We start from the raw sequence: 23732 nt of genomic DNA on the forward strand, positions 1-23732 counted from the left end.
TAGAATACCCATTTGTGTCTTAGTTTGTAAGAGCTGCCATAACGAAATACCATGGACTGGGTGGCTTAAACAACAGACATTGATTTTCTTACAGTTCTGGAGGCCGGAGGTCCAATATCACAGCATTGGCAGGGCTGGTTCTTCCCAAGGCCCCACTACTTGTGTTGCAGATGGCGGCCTTCTCCCTGTCCCTTTCCTCTGTGTACATAGATCCCTGGTGTCTCTTCTTCTTCTTTTTTTTTTCTTTTTTTTTTTTTTGTTGAGATGGAGTCTCGCTGTGTCACCCAGGAGAGCAATGGCATGATCTCGGCTTACCACAACCTCTGCTTCCTGGGTTCAAGCAATTCTCCTGCCTCAGCCTCCCGAGTAGCTGAGATTACAGGCACACACCACCATGCACAGCTAACTTTTATATTTTCAGTAGAGACCATGCACCATGTTGGCCAGGCTGGTCTCGAACTCCTGGCCTCAGGTGATCCACTCGCCTTGGCCTCCCAAAGTGCTGGGATTACAGTCTCCTCACCTTGGGCAATTTAATCCCTCTGGACTTTGGTTTCCTAACTCGTGAGATGACAATAGTAGTTTCTTTCTAATTTGGCTGTTTTTAGGTATAAACGAAAAGAATATATAGGTAAAGTGCTTAGTACAACCGTCTGGGAAATAGCAAAGTCCCCATAATGCCAGCTGCCGTTACTGTTATGTCTAGTATCGAACTTCTCCTGGAAATCAGCCACCTCTCTCCTTGAGCCCTGTCCAGGGCCAGTGGGTTTTTGGTAGTGTAGAGGGGCAACTCCTATCTTGCAAGGAACGGCAAGAGGTCGGGGCAAGCAGCTCTCTCTGGTCACTTCTTCAAGGGGGTGGTTGCTGAGGCTTTGGAAGGGAATTTAGTGAGCTCAGACCCTCTCAAGGCTACTGTGCTCCAAGTATGTGGCAGTTCATTTCAAGCTTGATGGCACACTCTTTGCAGAGCAGTTGCCAAGGAACGAGGTAATCTTGTGACAGAAATACTGCCTGATGCTGTCAGTTTGATGGTCGAAAAGGTTTTAGGTGGTATCAAATTTTATTACTAGCATTCCTGGTCTCCATGAAAGAACCACATAAGAAGACAAGTTATGTCAAAGGACAAAACCACAGACCTAGATGGGCACCGTGCATACAGCAGACACTTGGTTTCCTTTTGATATTGACTCAAACAGGGACTGGATTAAAAAAAGAAGAAAATAACAACAAGACCACAGACTTAAGCTGATCAGTGGTCTAACACTGGCAAGATTACTTTTGTTGATAAATTGATTTCTTGGGAAATCCTGGGAAAGTTCCTGGACGTGACCCTGTGGTCCTACCACCACTAGCTACCTGTGACCTTGGGTGAGTCAGCAAGTGGATGCAAAGGGAACACACACAGCACGGTGCCACAGCGGGCACCACCTGCCCCCCGCCGTCACAGATGGCTTGCAAATAAGCTACTCACGTACTTCCTGAGATCTGCTGCACCCAAACACACCAAGCTCAGAGAGGCTTTTGAGGCAGACAAGGGCAGGGAGAGAGGATGGTTCTTCTCGCATGGGTATTTAAGGAGTGTAGTGTCATGCGTGAGTGACTTTTTGGTTAGTAAGTTCTGCTGATTACATGAAGCAATGGGATAACTATCACGGCCAAAAGAGTATTCCTACTGCAGGCTCAGTAAGACTTTCTAATGATATTGAAGTAGTAGTTCCCTGAAAAGAGCTACTATGATCACATGGCTTGGTTAACTGTTTCTTACAAGTCTGAGCATGAATTTAACACACACGAACTATACACTGACAAAGACAGGATGCTCCTGAAATAAAATCACAGCATCTTATTGCATATACTACATCATCCAAGGTCAAAACCCTTTCATAGAGACATTTAAAACTATAACCAAGTAAAAGAGAAAATAGATGCAAATTTGCTTTTACAAAATTTGAAAATCAACCAAAAGAGTAAGGCACAAGATGCAGTCAGCTACAAAGCACTTCAGAGAACAGCGCTTTGCTCTCAGGTCTGGGACCCACCCCCTGGGCAAGGCCGCCTGGCAGCAGGCAGGAACCAAACCCCTGCCACCTCCACTCACTCCCAGGGTTCCTCTTTGCAGGATGGTGGGGAGCGCAGGCACCAAGGCAGGAAGGCCAGGGCAGGAAGATGCCCCGCGTCCTTCACTTTCCCTCAGTGTGAGCACACCAAGTTCCCTCTAACCAGGAGAACAGGACCCTAGGCACCAAAAGTCAAGCATGAGGGACTGCCACAGGCAGTCTGGCAGGTGTCTTTCAGATGCTAAAGTGCCAGGGTTTGCAGGATACTTGGATGGTTTACAGTGATGATGAGTTGGAGTCTTTAAACTCAATGGTGTCCTAGATACTCAGTTAGGATGATAGTGATCCCATCCATCCCGTGGTTGGTCACTGAGCTGCGTACGAAGCTGGCCTAGAATCAGACCCCGCATCCATAGGGAGAAATCATCACCCTCTACCGGGATCTGGATTTGTTTTCAGGATCTATTCTCATGAAGGAGACTTGAGAAGCTGAGAAACTCCAGAAGAATTTAAGTTTCAAAGTCAGATGAGTTTGCTACTCAACCTTCATCATGGTTGTAGCTTTCGCTCCCAGAATACAAGGCCAGAGAGGCACCAACCAGGAGGCAAACTTCACCTTCAAGGCCAGGCAACGCCTGGCTACAGTTAGACCCCGCAGCAGGGTTAAAGAAGGCTACAGTTAGACCCCGCAGCAGGGTTAAAGAAGGCTACAGTTAGACCCCGCAGCAGGGTTAGAGAAGTCTCTCCAGCAAGGCTGGGAGTTCAGCTTCCAATAGATCTAGAGGGCCAGGAGAAAAAGCATGCTGAGTGCCTGGCGGCATCTAGTGGTCACTAGTGGTCACTGCCAGTCATCAGCTTTCCTCCAATAAACCAGTTATCATGAGAATATAAAACAATCAGGAAGAAAAAAAAGTGTAGCTTTTTTTTTTTTTTTTTTTTTTTTTGAGACAAGAGTTTCGCTCTGTTGCCCAGGATAGAGTGCAGTGGCAGTGATCTTGGCTCACTGTAAGCTCCACCTCCCGGGTTCACGCCATTCTCCTGCCTCAGCCTCCCGAGTAGCTGGGACTACAGGCGCCTGCCACCATGCCCGGCTAATTTTTTGTATTTTTAGTAGAGACGGGGTTTCACCGTGTTAGCCTGGATGGTCTTGATCTCCTGACCTCGTGATCTGCCTGCCTCGGCCTCCCAAAGTGCTGGGATTACAGGCGTGAGCCACCGCGCCCGGCCAAAAGTTTAGTATTTTATCAAAGAAAACCATGACATACTAAATAGTCCTGAAACAAAAACGATTTACACATTTTCTTCTGACTAGGTATTTATTAAGTTCTAAAACCTTGAATAACTGCTATTTTAAAAATTCACACTAAAAGAAAACTAGAAATGTTAACATCTTTTACAGAGGGCAGTAAGTGGCCTTTTTTTTTTTTTTAAATTATAATTGCCTAGGAGAAAGGTGAGCTAATCTCTTTGGAAGTGTCATCAGCTGGTGAACTTCATCTTGGTCTCCACTTTATGTCTTTCACTCCATGAAAATGTCTTTTCAAAGCAGTGTTATCCGCCCATGGTGAGTTTAAATAGGCATCATCATCATTTTCTTCCAATCTCTGGAAATAAGTATGTTTTATTCAGGCAGGCATTTCAGGAAAGTGTTTTGCACATAAAGAGACTGAAGAAAGAGTCCATGACTGACCTCCCCCTCTCCCTGCCCTCTAGGAGCAGGATACTGCCATGTCTAACACCAGGGGACACCTGGCAGGACCCCGACAGACCTGCAGACAGAAGCTCTAGAAAGACCCCTCCCCGGCATTCTGCAGAGCTCACTGCTCCCCAGCAGCCCCAGGTAAGGCACACAGGCTATGTGTGGGCGCCAGCACTGCAGAAAGCCCATCTGTCCCCTGCTACCTTGAGCTCCTCTTGTCTTCTGTGATAGTACAGCATCAGCTGCTTCTGCTCCTCACTGCTAATAATAGGCTCTCGGGCTGGAGCTCCCTGTCCCCTCTGCAAAGAGGAGAGCAGAGCAAATTGTGGATTAAGGTGTTCTTAGAGTGACAATCCTGAAGTTACAACAAATGTTTTACGATTGCCTTTGCCGGCTACTAAAGATAAACAGGTCCCCCATGTCTGATCACCCGAAGTGAAGCATCAAGGGAAGCCTTGGTCTTGAGCAGCCCTGAGCCCTGGACTCTCACTGTGTGGAGACCAGAGGCTGCACGATACCATCTCTGTCTTGACCATTCCCAAGGCAGACACTGCAGGCAGGTCCAGTGGGAAAGGGAGGATGCTCAGAGCCACGGACTCTGGATCTACATAAGGTGGAGGGCCCCATTTCCCCAAAATCACAGCCTAGTGACGTAGGAGCACCCACAAAACCAAGGCGGCCCCTCAGGTTACAGCGCTACACGATGTCCTTCAAAGGTCTCGAACCTTTCCTCCTCCCCCTCCTGTACACAGCATCAGCAGTTTGAAAAAGCCTGAAATCAGTGACGGGCGAAATTTTACATTTCAAGGAACATATCTGTTTACTTGCAGCCCTATTTTTACGCTTGAAATTAACATAGTATATTTCCTCTCCCCCACATATTAAAACAAACTCTAGATATTGGTACTCAATCCATATTTTCTTCCAGTTTTTGTTGGTGTGCAGGAAGAGGATATTTTTAGTTTAAACCCGAGCCAATAAGATTAAAATATTTGTACCAGTAGTTTAAATCTTTCGGATTCACTGTACATTTTTATCAGTTTGAAGGGAAATAACAAAAACTACTGACACATTAAAGCAAAAAGTACTTACTTGCTGAATCTTGGCGATAATTTTGGTTTTTTCATTCTTCCCCACGTAGTCTGAAAGCTTCTTCGTTCTTCTCAGCTCCTTGGCTGCCCACCACAGCTGCGCCTCTGCCTCTTTAATGACGTTGAGCCCTGCCTGGGGCCAGTCGTAAGAATGGCTTGACTGTGTGTTCCCACCCAGGGGGCAGAGCCCAGCTGAGCCCCTCCCAGCAGGGGGCAGGGGACAGATTTCTCCCCGTGCTCACCATGGGAGGCCTGACTCCCGCACCTCACTCTAAGTCCTTGCTGACTTTAGTACCTTCCCTGTTAAGTTTCCACTCATGCCCTGACTCAGTTAACTTCCTCCTCTGGACAACAGGGAGATCCTATCTCATTTGCACCTTGATCCATATAGTTCGTCTTAGACAGATCTGTAGGCCACTGCCAGGGAAGGGCACTGGCATCGTGCTGGGTGTTTAAATCGAGGTATAAAGGGGCTGCCTGTTTACTTCTGCATATTTCATTTATTTAACATGGCTTAGACAAAGAATATTGTCCAATAGGATAAGAAGTGAGAAAACCCAAGGAAAATGGAACATGAGGGTCAGAAAATAACATGAAGCAACAGGTAAGACTAGAAACACAAATTTCCATGCAAAGGGACTGACGCATTTGGGTAGAAATAGGAAGAAATTAGGTAGCTGGCTTCCTAGCAGCCAAAGACAGTGGAAATGTTTGCAGTCACTCCTGATGAGCGGCCTCACAAACTGCGTCCACTGCCTCCTGTGTGTGGGGCCAAACCCCTCACTCATGAGTACCCACTCTCAGGGGCTGCTCCTGAATTCAGAACTCTGCTCTGAAGCAGGGCATAGCAAACCTGAAAGCTGTGTAGGGAGCAAAACACTACATCCAGAAGAGGGGCATCAAATCTTAAGGGCTTTGGGGGCCAGGAACTCAACCTCCAGAGTACCCACTCACAAACTACGTACCTGTGTTCCCGACAAGTCTTCCTTATTTTCAAACTCCATGCGGATGGGATCATACGGTGGCAACCCCATGGGGTAAACAATCATCACCGCGCCTCGAAGCTGGTCCAAGGCATCTTTCACCATCTCCATGGTAACACAGACACCGGCTTCCACTTGTTTCTGCAAGCAGAAAGCCATCGTTATCTACAGTGTGGCTAATCACTTCCATAAATTCGATCAAGATCTTGTACAAGACCCTTGCCAGATACTGCCAGAGCAACAAAAAGAAATCAAACAGTTCTTGCTCCCAGAGTGACTACCATCTATTTCAGGGGCTGAGCGAAGCACACCGTGGCCTGTATTATAAAGCAGACGGTGAGCAGCACTGAGCATGGAGTACAATGAAGTGCAAAGAATTCTCAAAGGAGAAAGAGCCCAATGCTGGCAGCACAGATGGCAGTGAGGATCGGGAGATACGGCAGGGGGAGCAGGCACCGCAGGTGGGCCTCGAAATGCAGATGGGCTGAAAAGGTACAGATGGCAGCAGGTGCTTCAGGACAAGCTGAAACAAAGAAAAGCAGGCGCCAGCCCCCTCAGCATGGGGCAGGAAGGAGAGAAGATGAGGCCAGCTCTAGCTGGATCAGCTGAAGTTTGTTTTTGAATGGCCACAAAAGCCAGGCTGAAGAGTTCACCTTTCCTCTGTTAGGCCACGGGAAGCGACTGCCTTTTCTGGGAAGGAGTGGTAATGTTGAGAGATTTATCTTGTAGCTGATATAGAACAGACCTAGTTGGCCAGATGTGGTGGCTCACACCTTATGTAATCCCAGCACTTTGGGAGGCCGAGGTGGGCAAATCACCTGAGGTCAGCAGTTCGAGACCAGCCTGGCCAACATGGCAAAGCCCTGTCTCTACTAAAAATACAAAAATTAGCTGGGCGTGGTGGCAGGTGCCTGTAGTCCCAGCTACTCAGCAGGCTGAGGCAGGACAATTGCTTGAGCCTGGGAGGCAGAGGTTGGAGTAAGCCAAAATCGTGCCACTGCACTCCAGCTTGGGCAACAGAATAAGACTCTGCCTCAAAAAAAAGAACAGACCTAGTTGGAGGGAGACCAGGTAGCAGGCTCTGAAGAGTACAGAGGAAGGTGTGATGAAATAACAAATATATCTGGTCTTTGCTACTCAGTTCCAGGCACAGAGCTCCAAAACTCTTGGAATTTCCTGAGTGACAGGAGTGTCTTGTTATTTATAACGAGCCCCTTCTCACCATACCTGAGCTTGTGCTAATACAGTAACCTGTAGTCCGCGCTGGGTTTCAAGGAAGGGGCTGGCCGTGCCTGGGAGACCAAGCACATAATTAGAGGGTTGGAGCTTTCGGCCTCACTCCCTTCCTCCACCTCCAGGCGCTAGAGGTTGGGATCAAACACGTGGCCAGTGGTTTAAGCCATCATGCCTACTGAACAAAAACGCTATAAAAATCCCAGACATCATGGCTCAGTGAAGCTTCCTGATTGGTGAAGACGTTGATGTGCCGGGTGACACACATCAGTGGGGGCGTTGTGGGAAGCTCCAAATTTGTAGTCAAGCTGGACACAAGTATGGGTGGCCTGGGGACCTCACGTGCAGCTGGTGTCTGAAATAAGAGGAGTCTTGTTGGTGATCTCACCCTTTAACTTTTAGGTCTGATGCTAACTCCAGGCAGTTAGTGTCAGAATTGAAGGATCTGCCCTTGACCTGTGGGGTCTGTGCTGTCTCTGAGTAGTTAGTGTCAGAACGGAATTGAATTGACTGGCAGGACCCCCAGTGGGCATCAGAATGCAAAAGGCTACAGGAGAGCCTTAAAGAAAGCCACAGCTGTGGAAGTGAAAGGAAGAGGTGGACTTAAGAGGCATCATGGGAGCAGACGGTACAGAACCCCACTTCAAACCTAGAGGTGACAGAAGGGAGAAGTGTTGAAGATGACACTGAGGATTTGCCCTATAAAACCAAGACACTGTGGTTCTGTTACTGGAAACAGAGAAGCTCATAGGAGGTGCTGATTCTCAGGGACAGAACAGAGAGGGAGAGGAGTGAGGAAGCAAAGAGCTCATTTCTAGAAAACTGGACTTCAAAGTGCTGACTGGGTGTTCAGATAGAACCATCTCACAACCAGCTGGAAATTCAGGTTGGAAGTGAAGCAAGATGTCAGGGGGAAAGGATGGAAGCTTCAGAGTTATCTGCAGAGGGTGGAATTTGCATTTGGCAGAGTAGATAAGATACTGAGAGAGGAAGAAGACCAAGGATAAAAAGTACTTTCAGAAGTACACAGGCAAAGGGGAGAAGTGAGGCGACCGAGAGAGGAGTTCCACAGCAAAGTGTGGGGAGAAGGGTGCAGAACAACAGCCAGACCACTGTTTTCTTGCCATGGCCTGAGACGTGCTCACATGCCTAGATGCCATCACCACGCAAACGACGGGCTCAACCAGGGCCTCTCCTGTAGAGCTTCATAAAGCCTTTCCTATATTAACAGGCACAGAGCTTCAGGGCAGCCTTTGCTGAGGCTCTTCAAAGATTAGTCAAAAGCTTGGTAAGTTTGAGAAATATTGGTTTAAAAATAACAGTTCTGCTGAGCAAACCAGGAGAAGCAGAAGAAAAAGTGGTGATCAGTCAAGAGACTTGCAGTTGAGAGCGGTAGCAACTAATATCACCAACACACAAATACAAGCAACAGATACAGATACCACTTCTTTCAATAGCCTTAAATTCTCTTCCTCCAGATACACATTATCTGTATATCAATGGTATAAATTTACGCTCCTCCCTCTATAAACTAGCCTTTGTATAAAATGCTGAAGACAATTACAAAAAACCATTTATATCAAATACATATTAAGTCAATCAAGTGTCTGGAGAGCTACTCGATGGCCACAATATTCAAATCTCCCCTACTTAACTTTGTTAAGTTCTTCAAAAAGGTAAAAGAAATGAAATCAACATTTGTATTATACATATTTGTATTATACGTGAACCTATATTTACATAAGCCAACAAAAATTTGTGTCTGCCTGGAGGAACGGAGAGGCCTCTGGGCAACCGTCAGGATTATGAAAGGAAAAGCTACAGCCTACCCCAAATACGCTTGTTTCCTTTGCCTCCGGAAGGCTGAAAGAGAAGGCTGGCTGAGAGGCAACTCTGGAAGCCAGAGTTGGAGTTTTATCTCAAAAGACAAGTTTTAGGCCGGGCGCGGTGGCTCATGCCTGTAATCCCAGCACTTTGGGAGGCCAAGACAGGCGGATCACCTGAGGTCAGGAGTTCGAGACCAGCCTGACCAACATGGAGAAACCCCGTCTCTACTAAAAATACAAAATTAGCTCGGCATGGTGGTGCATGCCTGTAATCCCAGCTACTCGGGAGGCTGAGGCAGGAGAATTGCTTGAACCCAGGAGGTGGAGGTTGTGGTGAGCCGAGATCGCACCATTGCACTCCAGCCTGGGCAACAAAAGCAAAATTCCATCTCCAAAAAAAAAAAAAAAAACCCAACAAGTTTTAGTGCATCATTTAAAAAAGCCAACCTTAGATATTATTGCTTTGGCTTCTTCTATAGTCTTCTTTAACACTTGCTTCATCTTCTCATTTGGAGCTATAAAAATAAAAAGGAGAGAGGGAGAAAGAGCTGTCAAATACAAAGCCTCTTCTGAAATACCTCAATCCCCTCTGTCTGAGTCAGGGGGTAAATGAACTGAGAGAGAGTGCGAGTGTGGAATTTAGGGAAGAGAAGCAAGAAACCTGGCTGCCGGAAGTTAGGTGAAGACCTCTTCCCAACAGCAGAGACCTGGAGTGTGCTTTACGCAAAGTGGCAAAGGCTACAAAAAACAGAAATGCATGTCGTTGGGTAAACAGGGCCGGTGAACTTTTTCTGGAAAGGGCCAGAGAGTAAAATTTGAGGCTTTGCAGGCCACACAGTCTTGTTGGGTGGGATAACTCAGCTCTGCCACGTAGCACAAGAGCAGACAATACTTAAATAACTGGGGTAGCTGCGTCTCCTTACAATTTTATTTACAATAGGCAGCTGGCTAAATTTGACCTGTAGCCCATAATTTGGTGACCCCTAGATCAGGAAAAAATAATAACTTGAAAGCTTAGAAGCCAAAAAAAAAAAAAAAAAAAAGAAGAAGATGGAATGCCCAAACCTAGGGAAAATGGGGCAAGTTGAAACCATACATTCCTAGTAAATAACAGTATTAATTAGACATTGAAAATATTAGAAACACAAGATTGTATTATAATAGAAGTGGTTAGGCTGGGCGTAGTGGCTCACGCCTGTAATCCCAGCACTTCGGAAGGCCAAGATGGGTGGATCACCTGAGGTCAGGAGTTCGAGACCAGCCTGGGCAACATGCTGAAACCCTGTCTCTATGAAAAATACAAAAATTAGCCGGGCATGGTAGCAGGCATGTGTAATCCCAGCTACTCTGGAGGCTGAGGCAGGAGAATCACTGGAATCCGGGAGGCAGAGGTTGCAGTGAGCCGAGATTGTGCCACTGCACTCCAACCTGGGTGACAGAGTAAGACTCTGTCTCAAAAAAAAAAAAAAAAAAAAAAAAGGTGGTTAATTTAAGAACATATTACATATTGGTTTAATGATGAATAATGAACTGTTAACTGGTTCTCATATTTTTTTTCCTCATCTTACCACATCTTCTTACGTAAGAAAGCTGTGGAAGACAACCATTTTTCAGGTTAACATTGAAAGGAAAAAATACTAGGAATTCTTACTATCCCTGATATTTAAAAAAATGTATTTTTGAGCTGCTAAAGGCCTTGCAGGAATACTGTTCTTTTACTCCTAACAGTGTTTTAGGGCTGTTCAATTACAGTGTTTTAAATGGCGCTTTTAATGCAGGTTAAAAAGAATAAGCTATCAAAAAGGATTATCATCAATTCCACATGATCAGCCAAACACTGAAAGGAGAGGAATTTCCTCAGTGTTTTGCCGTGTACTGAAGTGCTCTGCCCCAGAGAGAAGCATGTCCTTGATCAGGGAAGTCCATGTGCTGACATGCTTTCCCTTTCCTCTTTCACACAGTCCATCTCGAAAGATCCCCCAACATTTGCGAACAGTAACAAAACACAACTCTGAATACATTGCGGTGAGGACCTGCCAACAATTATTAGGTGGAAACACATGAAATTGCCAATACTCAACCATTTTTGAGCTACAGAAGGGAAAGGGTCATTTCATCTGGTTCGTCGAATACATATAAAAGCAAGCTGCAACTTATTAAAGAGCAAGACAAAAGCTTCCTTTATCTACCTAATTCATCCTAGATTAGAGTTTTACCAAAGGAGCTACAGAGTACAGTATTTTGTAAGTCTGTAGAGAAATGACGAGGTCAATTTTTAAACGTAAAGAACTGCTTTCTCACACCTGTAATCCCAGCACTTTGGGAGGCCGAGACCGGCAGATCATCTGAGGTCACGAGTTCGAGACCAGCCTGGCCAACATGGCAAAACCCCGTCTCTACTAAAAATACAAAAATTAGTCAGGTGTGGTGGCACATGCCTGTAGTCCCAGCTACTCAAGAGGCGGAGGCAGGAGAATCGCTTGAACCTGGAAGACAGAGGTGGCAGTGAGCTGAGATTGTGCCACTGCACTCCAGCCTGGGCTAGAGCAAGAATCCGTCTCAAAAAAAAAAAAAGGAACTGTTTTCATACTTATGCCTGTATCAAGCATGCACATAGAAGAGAAATCCTCACTTACCTTGCCCATTCCTTCGTCCAATATCATCCTTTTTAAACACTGCACCTCCGCTGGGTACGCATTTTTCACCCCATTCATCCTTCAATTTCAATTCTTCAATCTGATCATCGGTCAGTCCTTGCATATTAGGAGGGAGAAATATGCCATGTTCGGCTAATTCTTCCATTTCTTAAAAATAAGTGAAAGACAGTATCACAATCATAACACCTCATACCCCATTGGAATGTAAGCTCCAAAGAGTCAGGGGTCTTGCCCATCTGGCTCACTATTTTATGGAACAAACATTTATATGCCACTTGCTATGTGCCAGACCTGGCCTGGGCCTTTGACACGGGGGCATGGTACTGGTCTTATTCATCCTTGTCTTTTTTTTCTTTGAGACAGGGTCTCCCTCTGTCACCCAGGCAGGAGTGCAGTGGCGCGATCTCAGCTCACTGCAGCGATCTCAGCTCACTGCAGCATTGCCTCCCGGGTTCAAGCGATTCTCACGCCTCAGCCTCCCGAGTAGCTGGGACAACAGGCATGTGTCACCACGTTTTGTATTTTTAGTAGAGACTGGGTTTCACCATGTTGCCCAGGCTAGTCTAGAACTCCTAGGCTCAAGTGATCCGCCCGCCTCAGCCTCTCAAAGTGTCAGGATTACCCGTGTGAGCCACCACGCCCGGCCCCATCCTTGTCTTCTGAAGGCTGAGCACTGGTGCAGAATAAATACATGAATTTTCAGTTCACTAATGTGACTCTTAGCATTCAGCACATTTCCAATTTATAACGTTATAGGAAAAGAAGATGAATTCCTTTTCTCCTCAAATGCTTTAACTTAAAAATAACATTTAATATTGAGTTTGTGTTGGAACCTCAATTAAGAAACTACACATAAGTTTCATGAAAAGAACCATGACCCTCAGGAATTTCTCCACGGTGCAAAACTCACATATTCATATAATGTAATCAATACATTTCATAATAAATCACATATTCATGCAATTTAATAAATCACATAAATGAATATACTATTTATTGCAAATAGTTACGTTTGTATATTCTATATATACACGATAGTTATATAAACAGTAATATCCTAGACCACATCAGGAAGTATCATCCCGTCAAGTTCAAAAACTATGCTGTCTAATGCGGCAGCTACTCGCTCCACTTGGCGATTTAAATTTATTTAAATTAAAATGACCCAGACGCGATGGATCACACTTGTAATCCTAGCACTTTGGGAGGCGGAGGCAGGCGGATCACCTGAGGTCAGGCGTTCGAGACCAGCCTGGCCAACATGATGAAACCCCGTGTCCACTAAAGATACAAATATTAGCTGGGCGTGGTGGTGGGCGCCTGTAATCTCAGATACTTGGGAGGCTGAGGCAGGAGAATAGCTTGAACCCGGGAGGCGAAGGTTGCAGTGAGCAGAGATCGCGCCACTGCACTCCAGCCTGGGCAACAGTAAGACCCTGTCTCTCACACACACACATACCATATATATATATATATATATAATTTATTTATATTTATATATACATATATATAATTTATTTATATTCATATATACTATATATATGGTATTTATTTATATTTATATATATTTAATTAATTAAAATGCAAATGTAAAATTCGGTTGCCTGGCCGCACTAGCCACATTCCAAATGCTCTACGGCCACAAGTGGCCGGCAGCTGCCCAATGGACAGCACAGATGGGGGCCCTTCCACCGCCGGAAAGTTCTGCGGCAAAGCGGGTGCCCTGGAACCTGCGCGGGGTAGGGAGACGGCGCCGCAACGCAACAGGCCGTTTCCAGGGCGGGGAAAGATCACCAAGGCTTCCTCAACTGTAAGGGGCCGTCCCAAAGCCAGGTGGCTCGCTGCTTTACATTGGGCGACTAAAAATAGTAAATTCAGCTTTTAAAAGCCCACCTAGTTCTCATCTCACCCCTCACACGTGATTAATTGCACTAAGTCTGCTGTTCAGCCCGGCCTTTCGGCTCCCTCCTCCCTCCCCAGCCCATTTCCACTTATTCGCAGCACCCCAAATCCTGGCTCCGAGAGGCACCTGGGCCCACCTCCCAGCCCGGGGTGTCAGACAGGCCGGATCTTCTCCGGTTCCTTATTCATCTCCGGTTAACCCTAGTGTCCCGTTTCAACCCCGGCTGCTGCAAATCTCTTCAATAATCTTCACAAACCTGACCCCTCGGCCCACCCTGCCCCTCTTTCTCCATCCCACGCCGGTCTCTCGATCTGTCCGGGATGGGCCCACCCGCGAGCCGCACCTGAGCAGAGGCGCTGCACCTTGAGCCGCCCATTATAGACCCGGGCCACCTGCACCGTGAGCTCCTCCAGCTCGGTACTCCCAGGCGCCTGCAGCAGGAACTGGCTCTCGTCGCCCCGCTTCACGTGCAGCAGAACCATGGCGGTCCCGCCGAGGTACTGAGGCGTTGAGAAGGCCCCGGCTGCGTGGCCCGCGGGTCCTGCCGGCCGAGGGTCGCCGGATCGCCAGCAGCTGCGACGCACTAACAGCCGCTCACAGTCCGGAATCCCACGCTCCCTAGCCCGCGGTGAGCGGGGGAAACGGCACTCGCTCCCGGAAGTGGATGTTGCCAAGAGCAACAGTGAAGCAGAGTTAAAGAGCCGCCAGCTCAAGCTCAGAACCCGAGTGGGGGAGGCTGGGGTGCACCGAGGCCCAGCAATCCAAGCCCGTACGGAGCTGCGGCCGGGGAAACCACCCACACAGTCTGAGAGGACAGCTGATTCTGAGCGGACCGACGGAAGGAGATTCGCAGAGCCCCTTCCCGGAAGTGACTGTTGTCGCGGCAACTGCCAAAACACAGACCAAGTCGCTGAAGGGGAGGGCGGACCTCCCAATCGACTGGTCTGGGGCCCGAGATTTCCACTCAGGGAGATACGTGGGCTGAGATGGGAGTTACTAGATGGGGAACGGGAAATACGGCGGGAACCACAATCGCGCAGTTCCGCAGCTGCCGCCCCACAACCGCTCCACATTCCAGCGTCCCTTCCGCCGCTTTCAGTCTCCACTTCCGGCAACGTTTCCACGCTGTTTCCGGCCTGGGAAAGTTCGGCGGCAGCGACCCAGAACTGAGTCTTGCTGTTCGCTGCTGTTTGCGCGGGTCAGCTTTTCAGGACGGAGGGGCCAGGGCGAGTGTCCGCACTTCTTCGTTCAGGTTGATTTGGATGGCGTTGCTGGGGTAGCTCCAGCGGCCCCTGCCAGAGCGACCCTCCCAGAAATATCCAGCCATCCTCCAGCGGACTCTTGCTGAAGGCAGTCGGCGTCAGTCGCTGTTTATTCCGGGCCCCACAGATCCAGAGTCACTGCTCTCATGGAGCTTATATTTTAGTGTGACAAAAAGAAAACAAAAATAAATGGACAGGCCAGGAGCGGTGGCTCACGCGTGTAATCCCAACACTTAGGGAGGCCGAGGAGGGCGGATCACCTGAGGTCAGGAGTTCGAAAGCAGCCTGGCCAACATGGTGAAACCCCTTCTCTACTAAAAATACAAAAATTAGCCGAACGTAGTGGCGCGTGCCAGTAATTCCAGCTACTAGGGAGCCTGAGGTGGGAGAATTGCTTGAACCCGGGAGGCGGAGGTTGCAGTGAGCCTAGATCGCGCCACTACCCTCCAGCCTTGGCGACAGAGTGAGACTGTGTCTCAAAAATAATAAATAAACAAACGGACAACACAAATTCAAATACAGATCTAAAGAAAACTAAACAGGTTGATGGACTTCTTATGTTTGATGGTCAGGGAATGTACACCTTCTGCGATATTGGGAGTAATATTATCGTCTCCCGCCCTGAATATTTAGAAAAATATCACAGTGGGGTGTACACCCCTGCGATATTGAGAGTAATGTCATCCTCTCCACCCAGGAAATTACTAACAAGGTCACGGAGGGGTGTACTCCCCCTGTGATATTGGGAGTAATGTTTTCCTCCCCAAACCTGGATGTTAGCAACAAGATAACAGAGGGGGTGTACACACCCTGCGATATTGGAAGTAATATGATCCTCTCCCCCCCGGATACTGGGAAAAATATCACAGCGCGGGTATACATTTCCTTCGCTGTTGGGAGTAATATCATTCTTTTCCTCTCTGGATATCAGGAACAATATCACAGGGGTGGTGTACATTTCCTTCGATATGGGGAGTAATATCATCCTCTCCCCGTTGGGATACTAGGAACAATATCCCAGGGGGGTGTCCACCCTCTGCGATATTGGGAGTAATATCATCCTCTGTTTCCCCGGATATTAGACACAATATCACAAAAAAGTGTACACCCCCTGCGATATTGGGAGTAATATCATACTCTCCTTCCCTGGATATTAGAAAACAATATCATCAGGGGTGAGCACCCCCTGCGATAATGGAAGTAATATTTTCTCTTTTTTTCTTTTCTTTTTTTTTTTTTTTTTTTTTTAACAGAGTTTCACTCTTGCTGCCCAGGCTGGAGTGTAATGGCATGATCTCGGCTCACTGCAGCCTCTGCCTCCCGTATTCAAGCGATTCTCCTGTTTCAGCCTTCCAAGTAGCTGGGATTACAGGCATGCGCTACCATGCCCGGCAATTTTTTTTTTTTTTTTTTTTTTTTGTATTTTTAGTAGAGACAGTGTTTCTCCATATTGGTCAGGCTGGTCTTGAACTCCCGACCTCAGGTGATCCGCCTGATTCAGCCTCCCAAAGTGCTGAGATTACAGGCGTGAGCGATCGCGCCCAGCCACCACTTAGCATTTTCATTTTACATTTGTTGAAGTTACAGATTTATACACACATTGATTGCTGCTTTATTATACACTTGCATATACATAAAATGGGAAATAGAAAAGAATAAAATGGGCACAATATCCCTAAAGTTTCACATTCCGAAACATTTTTTAAATATTTGCTTTTTAGAAATTTGTTTCAATTAAGAAACTGCGGTATACACACACAATGAAGTATTATTCAGCCTAAAAAGGAATAAAATCCTCTCCGCTGCAGAAAAAATGGATGAGATTGCAGGTCTGTATGTTAAGTGAAATAAGCCAGGCACAGAATGACAAATATTACATGTCCTCACTTATACGTAGGAACAAAAAAGAAAATCTTGGCCAGGTGGCTCAGGCCTGTAATCCCAGCACTTTGGGAGGCCGAGTTGCACGGATTACTTGAGGCCAGGAGTTTGAGAGCTGCCTGGCTAACATGGTGAAACCCCGTCTCTACTAAAAACACAAACAATTAGCCAGGCGTGGTGATGCGTGCCTGTAGTCTCAGCTACTCGGAAGGCTGAGGCCCAAGAAGCGCTTGAACTCGGGAGGTGGAGGTTGCAGTGAGCCTGGACTGTGCCTGTATGCTCCAATCTGGGCAATGGAAAGAGACTCCATCACACACCTACAAACAAAAGGAATCTCAGGAAGGTGGAGAGTATAAAGGGGGTTAGCAGACGCTAGGAAGAAAAGGGGTGGATGGGGAATGAGGAGAAGTGGATAATTGGGTCCCAAAATACAGAAAGATGGAGTAAGTGAGTTCTAGTGTTTGATAGTACAGTATGAAAATTTTAGTTCACAAGAATTTCTTGCATATTTCCAGATGCTTTGGTAAGAAGCTTCCTAACTTTCTCATTATGCTGGTTTTTAAGCTCTTGTCTTCTGCTCTTGAAATCATGCTGGTTTTTTGTTTTTTGTTTTGAGATGGAGTTTTGCTCTTCTTGCCCAGACTGGAGTGTAACAGTGCAATCTTGGCTCACCACAACCTCTGCCTCCTGGGTTCAAGTGATTCTCCTGCCTCCACCTCCTGAGTAGCTGGGATTACAGGCATGCGCCAGCATGCCCAGCTAATGTTGTATTTTTAGTAGAGACGGGGGTTTCTCCCTGTCGGTCAGGCTGGTCTTGATCTCCTGACTTCAGGTGATCCGCCCGCCTTGGCCTCCCAAAGTGCTGGGATTACAGGCGTGAGCGACCACGCCCGGCCCATGCTGTATCCTTATCTGTTGTTTGTTGTGGTTTGTTTGTTTTTGAGCCCAGAAATAACTTCTCACCTATGTGTTCAAATGATTTTTAACATGAGTGCTAAGAAAGCTCATTGGTGGAAAAGCAGCCTTTTCAAGAAATGGTGTTGGAGAAACTTGATTTCCACATGCAGAAGAATGAAGGTGGACCCTATGTCACACCAGGTGCAAAAATTAACACAAACTGGATCAAAGACCTAACCCCAAGTGCTAAAAGTATAATATGCCTCAAAGAAAACATTGGCCACACTTTCATGACATCAGATTGGGCAATGCTTTCTGGGATATGACACCAAAAGCATAGGCAACGAAAGAAAATTAGATTCCTTGGATTACATCTAAATGACAGACACTTTTGTGCATCAAAAAACACTGTGAACTGAGTGAAAAGATAACCCATGGATTCGGAAAAATATTTGCAAATCATATATCTGAAAAGAGGCTGATATCCATCATGTATAAAGAACAGCTAGAACTAAGCAACAAGAAACCCAAAGCATCCCATTGACAATGGTCAGAAGACTCGAGTAGACGTGTCCCTAAAGAAGATACAGCAATGGCCAATAAGCATCTAAGATGATGTTCAAAATCACTCATCATAGGGAAGCGCAAATCAAACCAATAATGTGATACCACACATTAGGATGGATATGATAAACAAGCATTGGTGAGACTAGAGGGAAGTAGGAATGCTCGAATATGATTGCAGGGAATGTAAAACCGTGAAGCAACAGTGAAAATAGTATGGCGTGTACTGGAAAAATTAGAAACAGAATTATCAGATGTTCCTGCAGTTGCATTTGTGGGTACCTACCAAAAAGAATTAGAAGCCAGGAGTGGAAGAGATATTTGTACACCCATATTCATAGCAGCATTATTCACAACAGCCAAAATGTGGAAGCAACCCGAGGGTTCGTGGACAGATGAATGAAAAAGCACACTGCAGTTCATTCATACAGTGGAAGACTATTCAGCCTTCAAAAGGCAGGCACTTCTGGCTGGTGCAGTGGCTCCGCCTGTAATCCCGGCATTTTGGAAGACCGAGGTGGGCGGATCACCTGAGGTCAGGAATTCAAGACCAGCCTGGCCATCTTGGTGAAACCCTGTCTCTACTGAAAATGCAAAAAATTAGATGAGCATGGTGGCGTGTGCCTATATTCCCAGCTACTTGGGAGGCTGAGGCACAAGAATCGCTTGAACCCAGGAGGCAGAGGTTGCAGCGAGCCCAGATTGTGCCACTGCACTCCAGCCTGTGCGACAGAGTGAGACTCCATGTAAACACAAAACAAAACAAAATAAAACAAAACAAAACAAAACAAACAAAAAAACCAGACAGGCACTTCTGACACAGGCTGCAACGTGGATGAACCTTGAAGACATTATCGTCAGTGAAATAAATAAATCCCAGAAGGATAAACATGACCAGGCTCAGTGGCTTGCACCTGTAACCCCAGCAATTTGGGAGGCTGAGGCAGGCGGATCACTTAAGGTCAGGAGTTCGAGACCAGCCTGGCCAATACGGTGAAAGCTCGTCTCTATTAAAAATACAAAAATTAGCTGGGCGTGGTGGCACACGCCTGTAATCCCAGCTATTTGGGAGACTGAGACACAAGAATCGCTTGAACCCATGATGTGGAGGTTGCAGTGAGCCGAGATCACACCACTGCACTCCTGCCTGGGCGACAGAGAAAGACTCGGTCTGCAAAAAAAAAAAAAAAAAAAAAAAAAGAAATGCGGTATGATTCCACTTCTATCAAGTGTCTAGAGTAGTTAAACTCATAGAGTTGTGAACTAGAATGGTGGCCCCCAGGGGTGGGCGAGAGAGAGGAATGGAGAGTTTGGTGAATGGGTGCAATTTCCATTTTGAAAGATAAAACTGTTCTGGAGATGATGGCGGTGATGGTTGCTAAACAATGTGAATGTACTTAATGTCATTAAACTGTAAACTGAAAAACAGTGGAAATTGTAAATGTTTATACTGGCCATTCTATAGGAAATAATATATATTTATAATTTTTAATATTTATATGTGGTATATTTTCCCATAATCAAAGATGAAAATGAAAGCAGTTGGATCTTTAAAAAGGAAAGAAGCGAATAATACGTACCAGCTTTCTCCTGATTAGAGGAAGAGCCCCAAAGCTTCTATGGACACTCACTTTTCTCTTCTTCTTGCATTATTATGAGGAAATCCTTAGAGGTTGGGGAACTTGGGTGACTTTGGCTAATGAGGAGCTCTGTGCCTTGAGGCCCCCAGGCCACAGAATAGTAAATACTCAGTCTGTGCCTCCAGCCCTGCAGTGTGAGGTTCCAGTCCTGTGGGCTCCACACCCGTCACCTGTATCAGGAGGCTCATGTCTCACCCTGTCTTCTTGCCAGCCTTGAGGACGGAGTCTGAGCCTCCATCATGCACCACGCAGGGAGGACAGTGGACCTGTTCTCCGTGGTCACGGCCTAGCAGAGGGGAAGGGCAGTTCAGTGAGTGCTGAGGGACCGCTGGGAGGCTTGTTTTGTTTCCTCATCCTCAAGACAAACAAGAGAGTGCGGTGGGCAGATGGGAGGAGACCAATGTGCAAACTGTCCACTCAGCAGACTGTGGAGTTTCTGTTCTTGGTTGTGGTGGGGGGTCTCAGAAATCTTATTCAAAATTTTGCTTTCCTCCCCCACTGGTTGTCCTTTTCATAGACATCTCATCCATGATAGCAGGGAATGAGTCTCTCTAAACTATTCCCTAAGAACAACAAAAAGATTATGAAGGTGATGATGAGGATAAAGAGGATGATGACAGACACCATGGCACCATGAACCCTTACTGAGGGCTTCCTAAAGGCCAGACTCTGAGCTCTGTGCTCTATGCAGCTTGTTTCATTTCATCTGCGTAGTCTCCCAGTTATTAGTGCACATTTCATTATTATTTTACAGACTAGAAAAGGAGCAACGCATTTTCATATAACTTGTACCAGATCATGAAGTCAAAAAGGGTGAAGTCCAATTTGAACCAGGCAGTCTAAGTCCAGACACATGGCATTTGGCCAGTCCTCTCCCTGCATCCAACCTGCCCTCTCAAATCCTTGTCACTCAGGCCGATGCCCCTGCTCACTGTGCCCTTCCCTTTGGGGGTTCCTTGTAGACCACAGCTAGACCAGTGGGTGCCACAATCACTGTGTCAAGTATAGAAAGGGCAGCTGAGATCACATCAAGGATTCCAGAAAGAATTAGTACAGGATCATTCGGGATGCATCTCTCCCTTGCCCCTGTTCCTGGCTTTCCTTACAGCTCTCGACTTCCTCAAAGGAGTCATCAGTTCGGAGATTGGCTTCCATTCCTATTGAGGAAGCTGGAAACCGTTTCAAAAATGCTCCTCAGATGTGCCTGTGGTTAAGACCTCTGAGCTCTGCTTAAAACTTTTTGAAGCTGGGTGTGGTGGCTCACACCTGTAATCCCAGCCCTTTGGGAGGCTGAGGCAGGCGAATCACAAGGTCAGGAGTTTGAAACCAGCCTGGCCAACATGGTGAAACCCCATCTCTACTAAAAATAGAAAAAAATTAGCCAGGCGTAGTGGCGTGTGCCTGTAATCTCAGCTACTTGGCAGGCTGAGGCAGGAGAATAGCTTGAACCTGGGATGCGGAGGTTGCAGTGAGCCAACGTCACTCCACTGCACTCCAGCCTGGGCAACAGAATGAGACTCTGTCTCAAACAAAAACAAAAACAAAACCACAACTTTTTGAGAGTTGGAAGACCATGAAGTATAGTACCCGGGACTTAGAGTCTGGCCATGAATTTGGAATACCACCCTTTCTACTTATCTGTATGGCAAAGGGTGAGACGTCCATCCTCTGAGACTCAGCACTCTCATCTGAGTTGATCTAGTTGATCCAATGGAAGTGAGCGATGATGAAACCGATCGTGGGTGCCCGCTGCGTGATCTCTATGTGATGGATGCATAAAGTAAAGGCAAAGTGAATTTTAGATACATTCATTAATATTTTAAGCTTAAAGTCCATACAATTCACCGGAAATATCCCCTGACCTGAAGTTCTGGTTTCCCTGCATTCCAAACAGGACATTTTGTTTTGTCTTTGTCTCGGTAAGTACTGAGTATTGTGAGAGGAACAAGTGAGTGTCTTCTGTTTCTGATTCCCCAGAGTCTATATCTTGCTTGGCACATAGGAGATAGCAAAAGGAAACATCTATGTCAATTACTGAATCGACACTTCCTTGGTTCACAAACATTGGCTGTCATCAGCGTGACTTCGACTTACTTGATTCTTTTCGTTTTTTGTTTTTTGAGACGGAGTTTTGCTCTTGTTGCCCAGGCTGGAGTGCAGTGGTGTGATCTCGGCTGACTGTAGCCTCTGCCTCCCAGGTTCAAGCCATTCTCCTGCGTCAGCCTCCCGAGTAGCTGGGACTACAGGTGCGCGCCGCCATACCGGGCAAAGTTTTTGCAGTTTTAGTAGAGGTGGGGTTTCACCATGTTGGCCAGGATGGTCTTGATCTCCTGACCTCGTGATCCACCCTCCTCGGCCCCCCAAAGTGCTGGGATTACAGGCGTGAGCCACCGCATCTGGCCAAACGTTCTTATGAAAATTCTAAGTCCACCTAAGCTAAGGACAGGAGTTATAGCTTACATGAATTTTAAAACAAGATGCACCGATTTGAGTAAGCAATTACTCTCTTGAAGGAGAAAAGTCAGAAAGCATAATGAAATCACTAGGACCTAACTGGCATGTGGAACTATTTTCTGCTTATGAACTATCAACTTTAATTTCATTTCCAGATGGCATGGTTTCAGCTGTTATACAGTGTTTATAAATGTTCTAAATCAAGGGAATTTGTATCAATCTATTAGAATAAAATAAAATATTTGAGTTCTTAATTTCCTTTAATTAGGATAACCTTTTTCTTAAAGTGAAGAGAATGGTTTTATTACATATTTTTCTTCGGAAAAGATAGGCTATATTTTCTAGCAATTACGAATTTGTTATATATGATGATCTGGTTCTTGGAACATTCTTGAATCTAGTGTCTCTAAGGCAGGTGTGTAGAGCAAGAAGTGAATAACACAGAAATCAATGATGAAAGCATTAGAAGACAATTGAGTTTGTCAGAACTGTAAAATATTGCTGAGTGTGGATTGCTCTGAAATCTGAAAACATGACTTGTGAATTGCTTATATCCAAAATGCAGACACAATGCTGGGTGTTGGTTTACTTGTTTCCGGTTTTTCAACCCTCTTTTCTAAGCAAAAGATGTCCAAACTATACAGACCCACAGAATCTAACAGATGTCTTTATATTCCTCCTCCTAGAACTCTCAGAGGATCCAGCACTGCAGCTGGTCGTCACTGGGCTGTGCCTGTGTGCCTGGTCACGGTGCTGTGGAACCTGCTCAGCATCCTGGCCGTCAGCCCTGACTCCCACCTCCACACCCCCATGCACTTCTTCCTCTGCAACCTGTCCTTGCCTGACATCGGTTTCACCTCCACCACGGTCCCCAAGATGATCGTGGACATCCAATCTCACAGCAGAGTCATCTCCTATGCAGGCTGCCTGACTCAGATGTCTCTCTCTGCCATTTTTGGAGGCATGGAAGAGAGACATGCTCCTGAGTGTGATGGCCTATGACCAGTTTGTAGCCATCTGTCACCCTCTGTATCATTCAGCCATCATGAACCCGTGTTTCTGTGGCTTCCTGGTTTTGTTGTCTTTTTTTTTCTCAGTCTTTTAGACTCCCAGCTGCAAAACTTGATCGCCTTACAAATCACCTGCTTCAAGGATGTGGAAATTCCTAATTTCTTCTGTGACCCTTCTCAACTCCCCCATCTTGCATGTTGTGACACCTTCACCAATAACATTATCATGTATTTCCCTGCTGCCATATTTGGTTTTCTTCCCATCTCGGGGACCCTTTTCTCTTACTATAAAATTGTTTCCTCCATTCTGAGGGTTTCATCATCAGGTGGGAGCTATAAAGCCTTCGCCACCTGTGGATCTCACCTGTCAGTTGTTTGCTGATTTTATGGAACAGGCGTTGGAGGGTACCTCAGTTCAGATGTGTCGTCTTCCCTGAGAAAGCGTGCAGTGGCCTCAGTGATGTACACAGTGGTCACCCCCATGCTGAATCCCTTGATCTACAGCCTGAGAAACAGGGATATTAAAGGTGTCCTGTGGCAGCCGTGCAGCCGCACGGCAGCACAGTCTCATCTCA

General features: G+C 46.4%; 2 protein-coding genes and 1 pseudogene across 8 annotated transcripts in view, besides 3 other annotated features; 1 reads left to right on the forward strand and 2 right to left on the reverse strand.

Moving 5' to 3' along the window:
• CFAP298-TCP10L (CFAP298-TCP10L readthrough) overlaps positions 1 to 14065 on the reverse strand; it is a 48886-nt gene extending 34821 nt beyond the window's left edge. For all 3 annotated transcript variants that reach the window (NR_146638.2, NR_146639.2, NM_001350338.2), the window contains exons 1-5: positions 13793 to 14065; positions 11526 to 11693; positions 9337 to 9404; positions 5813 to 5971; positions 4849 to 4980 (exon numbers count right to left, since the gene is read on the reverse strand). Coding sequence is in view for 1 of the 3 variants with exons in the window: in NM_001350338.2 (NP_001337267.1) it covers positions 4849 to 4980; positions 5813 to 5971; positions 9337 to 9404; positions 11526 to 11693; positions 13793 to 13931 (666 nt within the window). In the remaining 2 variants the exon portion in view is untranslated. The remainder of the gene's footprint in view (positions 1 to 4848; positions 4981 to 5812; positions 5972 to 9336; positions 9405 to 11525; positions 11694 to 13792) is intronic.
• CFAP298 (cilia and flagella associated protein 298) lies at positions 1042 to 14065 on the reverse strand. Of its 5 annotated transcripts, NM_021254.4 has the most exons (7): positions 13793 to 14065; positions 11526 to 11693; positions 9337 to 9404; positions 5813 to 5971; positions 4849 to 4980; positions 3960 to 4055; positions 1042 to 3661 (listed from the first exon to the last, which is right to left on the reverse strand). In NM_021254.4, exons 1-7 carry the CDS (start codon positions 13929 to 13931, stop codon positions 3551 to 3553), a joined length of 873 nt encoding a protein of 290 aa, NP_067077.1. In that variant the 5' UTR covers positions 13932 to 14065; the 3' UTR covers positions 1042 to 3550. The 5 variants fall into 5 exon arrangements, with proteins under 5 accessions (NP_067077.1, NP_001337263.1, NP_001337265.1 ...); NM_001350334.2 differs by lacking the exon at positions 9337 to 9404; NM_001350336.2 differs by lacking the exon at positions 3960 to 4055.
• Positions 6167 to 6461: a silencer, noted in NCBI's record as "tiled region #410; HepG2 Repressive non-DNase unmatched - State 15:Elon, and K562 Repressive non-DNase unmatched - State 17:Gen3'". NCBI's record gives its function as "represses a minimal TATA promoter and a strong SV40 promoter by Sharpr-MPRA in HepG2 and K562 cells {active_cell/tissue: HepG2 | K562}" and the evidence as "EXISTENCE:reporter gene assay evidence [ECO:0000049][PMID:27701403]".
• Positions 13487 to 13536: an enhancer, noted in NCBI's record as "active region_18364". NCBI's record gives its function as "activates an Ori minimal core promoter by ATAC-STARR-seq in GM12878 lymphoblastoid cells {active_cell/tissue: GM12878}" and the evidence as "EXISTENCE:reporter gene assay evidence [ECO:0000049][PMID:35858748]".
• Positions 14197 to 14306: an enhancer, noted in NCBI's record as "active region_18365". NCBI's record gives its function as "activates an Ori minimal core promoter by ATAC-STARR-seq in GM12878 lymphoblastoid cells {active_cell/tissue: GM12878}" and the evidence as "EXISTENCE:reporter gene assay evidence [ECO:0000049][PMID:35858748]".
• OR7E23P (olfactory receptor family 7 subfamily E member 23 pseudogene) lies at positions 22750 to 23732 on the forward strand (annotated as a pseudogene).

This window comes from Homo sapiens, chromosome 21 (assembly GCF_000001405.40).
Source record: "Homo sapiens chromosome 21, GRCh38.p14 Primary Assembly".
Classification (NCBI taxonomy): domain Eukaryota; kingdom Metazoa; phylum Chordata; class Mammalia; order Primates; family Hominidae; genus Homo; species Homo sapiens.

Coding starts and splice junctions, on each gene's coding strand:
- CFAP298 (NM_021254.4), bottom strand. CDS start 13,931: ATGGTTCTGCTGCACGTGAAGCGGGGCGACGAGAGCCAGTTCCTGCTG. Junction 5,972..9,336: donor CCAAAGCAATAATATCTAAG/GTTGGCTTTTTT, acceptor TTCTGCTTGCAG/AAACAAGTGGAAGCCGGTGT. Junction 4,981..5,812: donor AAGACTTGTCGGGAACACAG/GTACGTAGTTTG, acceptor GACTGGCCCCAG/GCAGGGCTCAACGTCATTAA.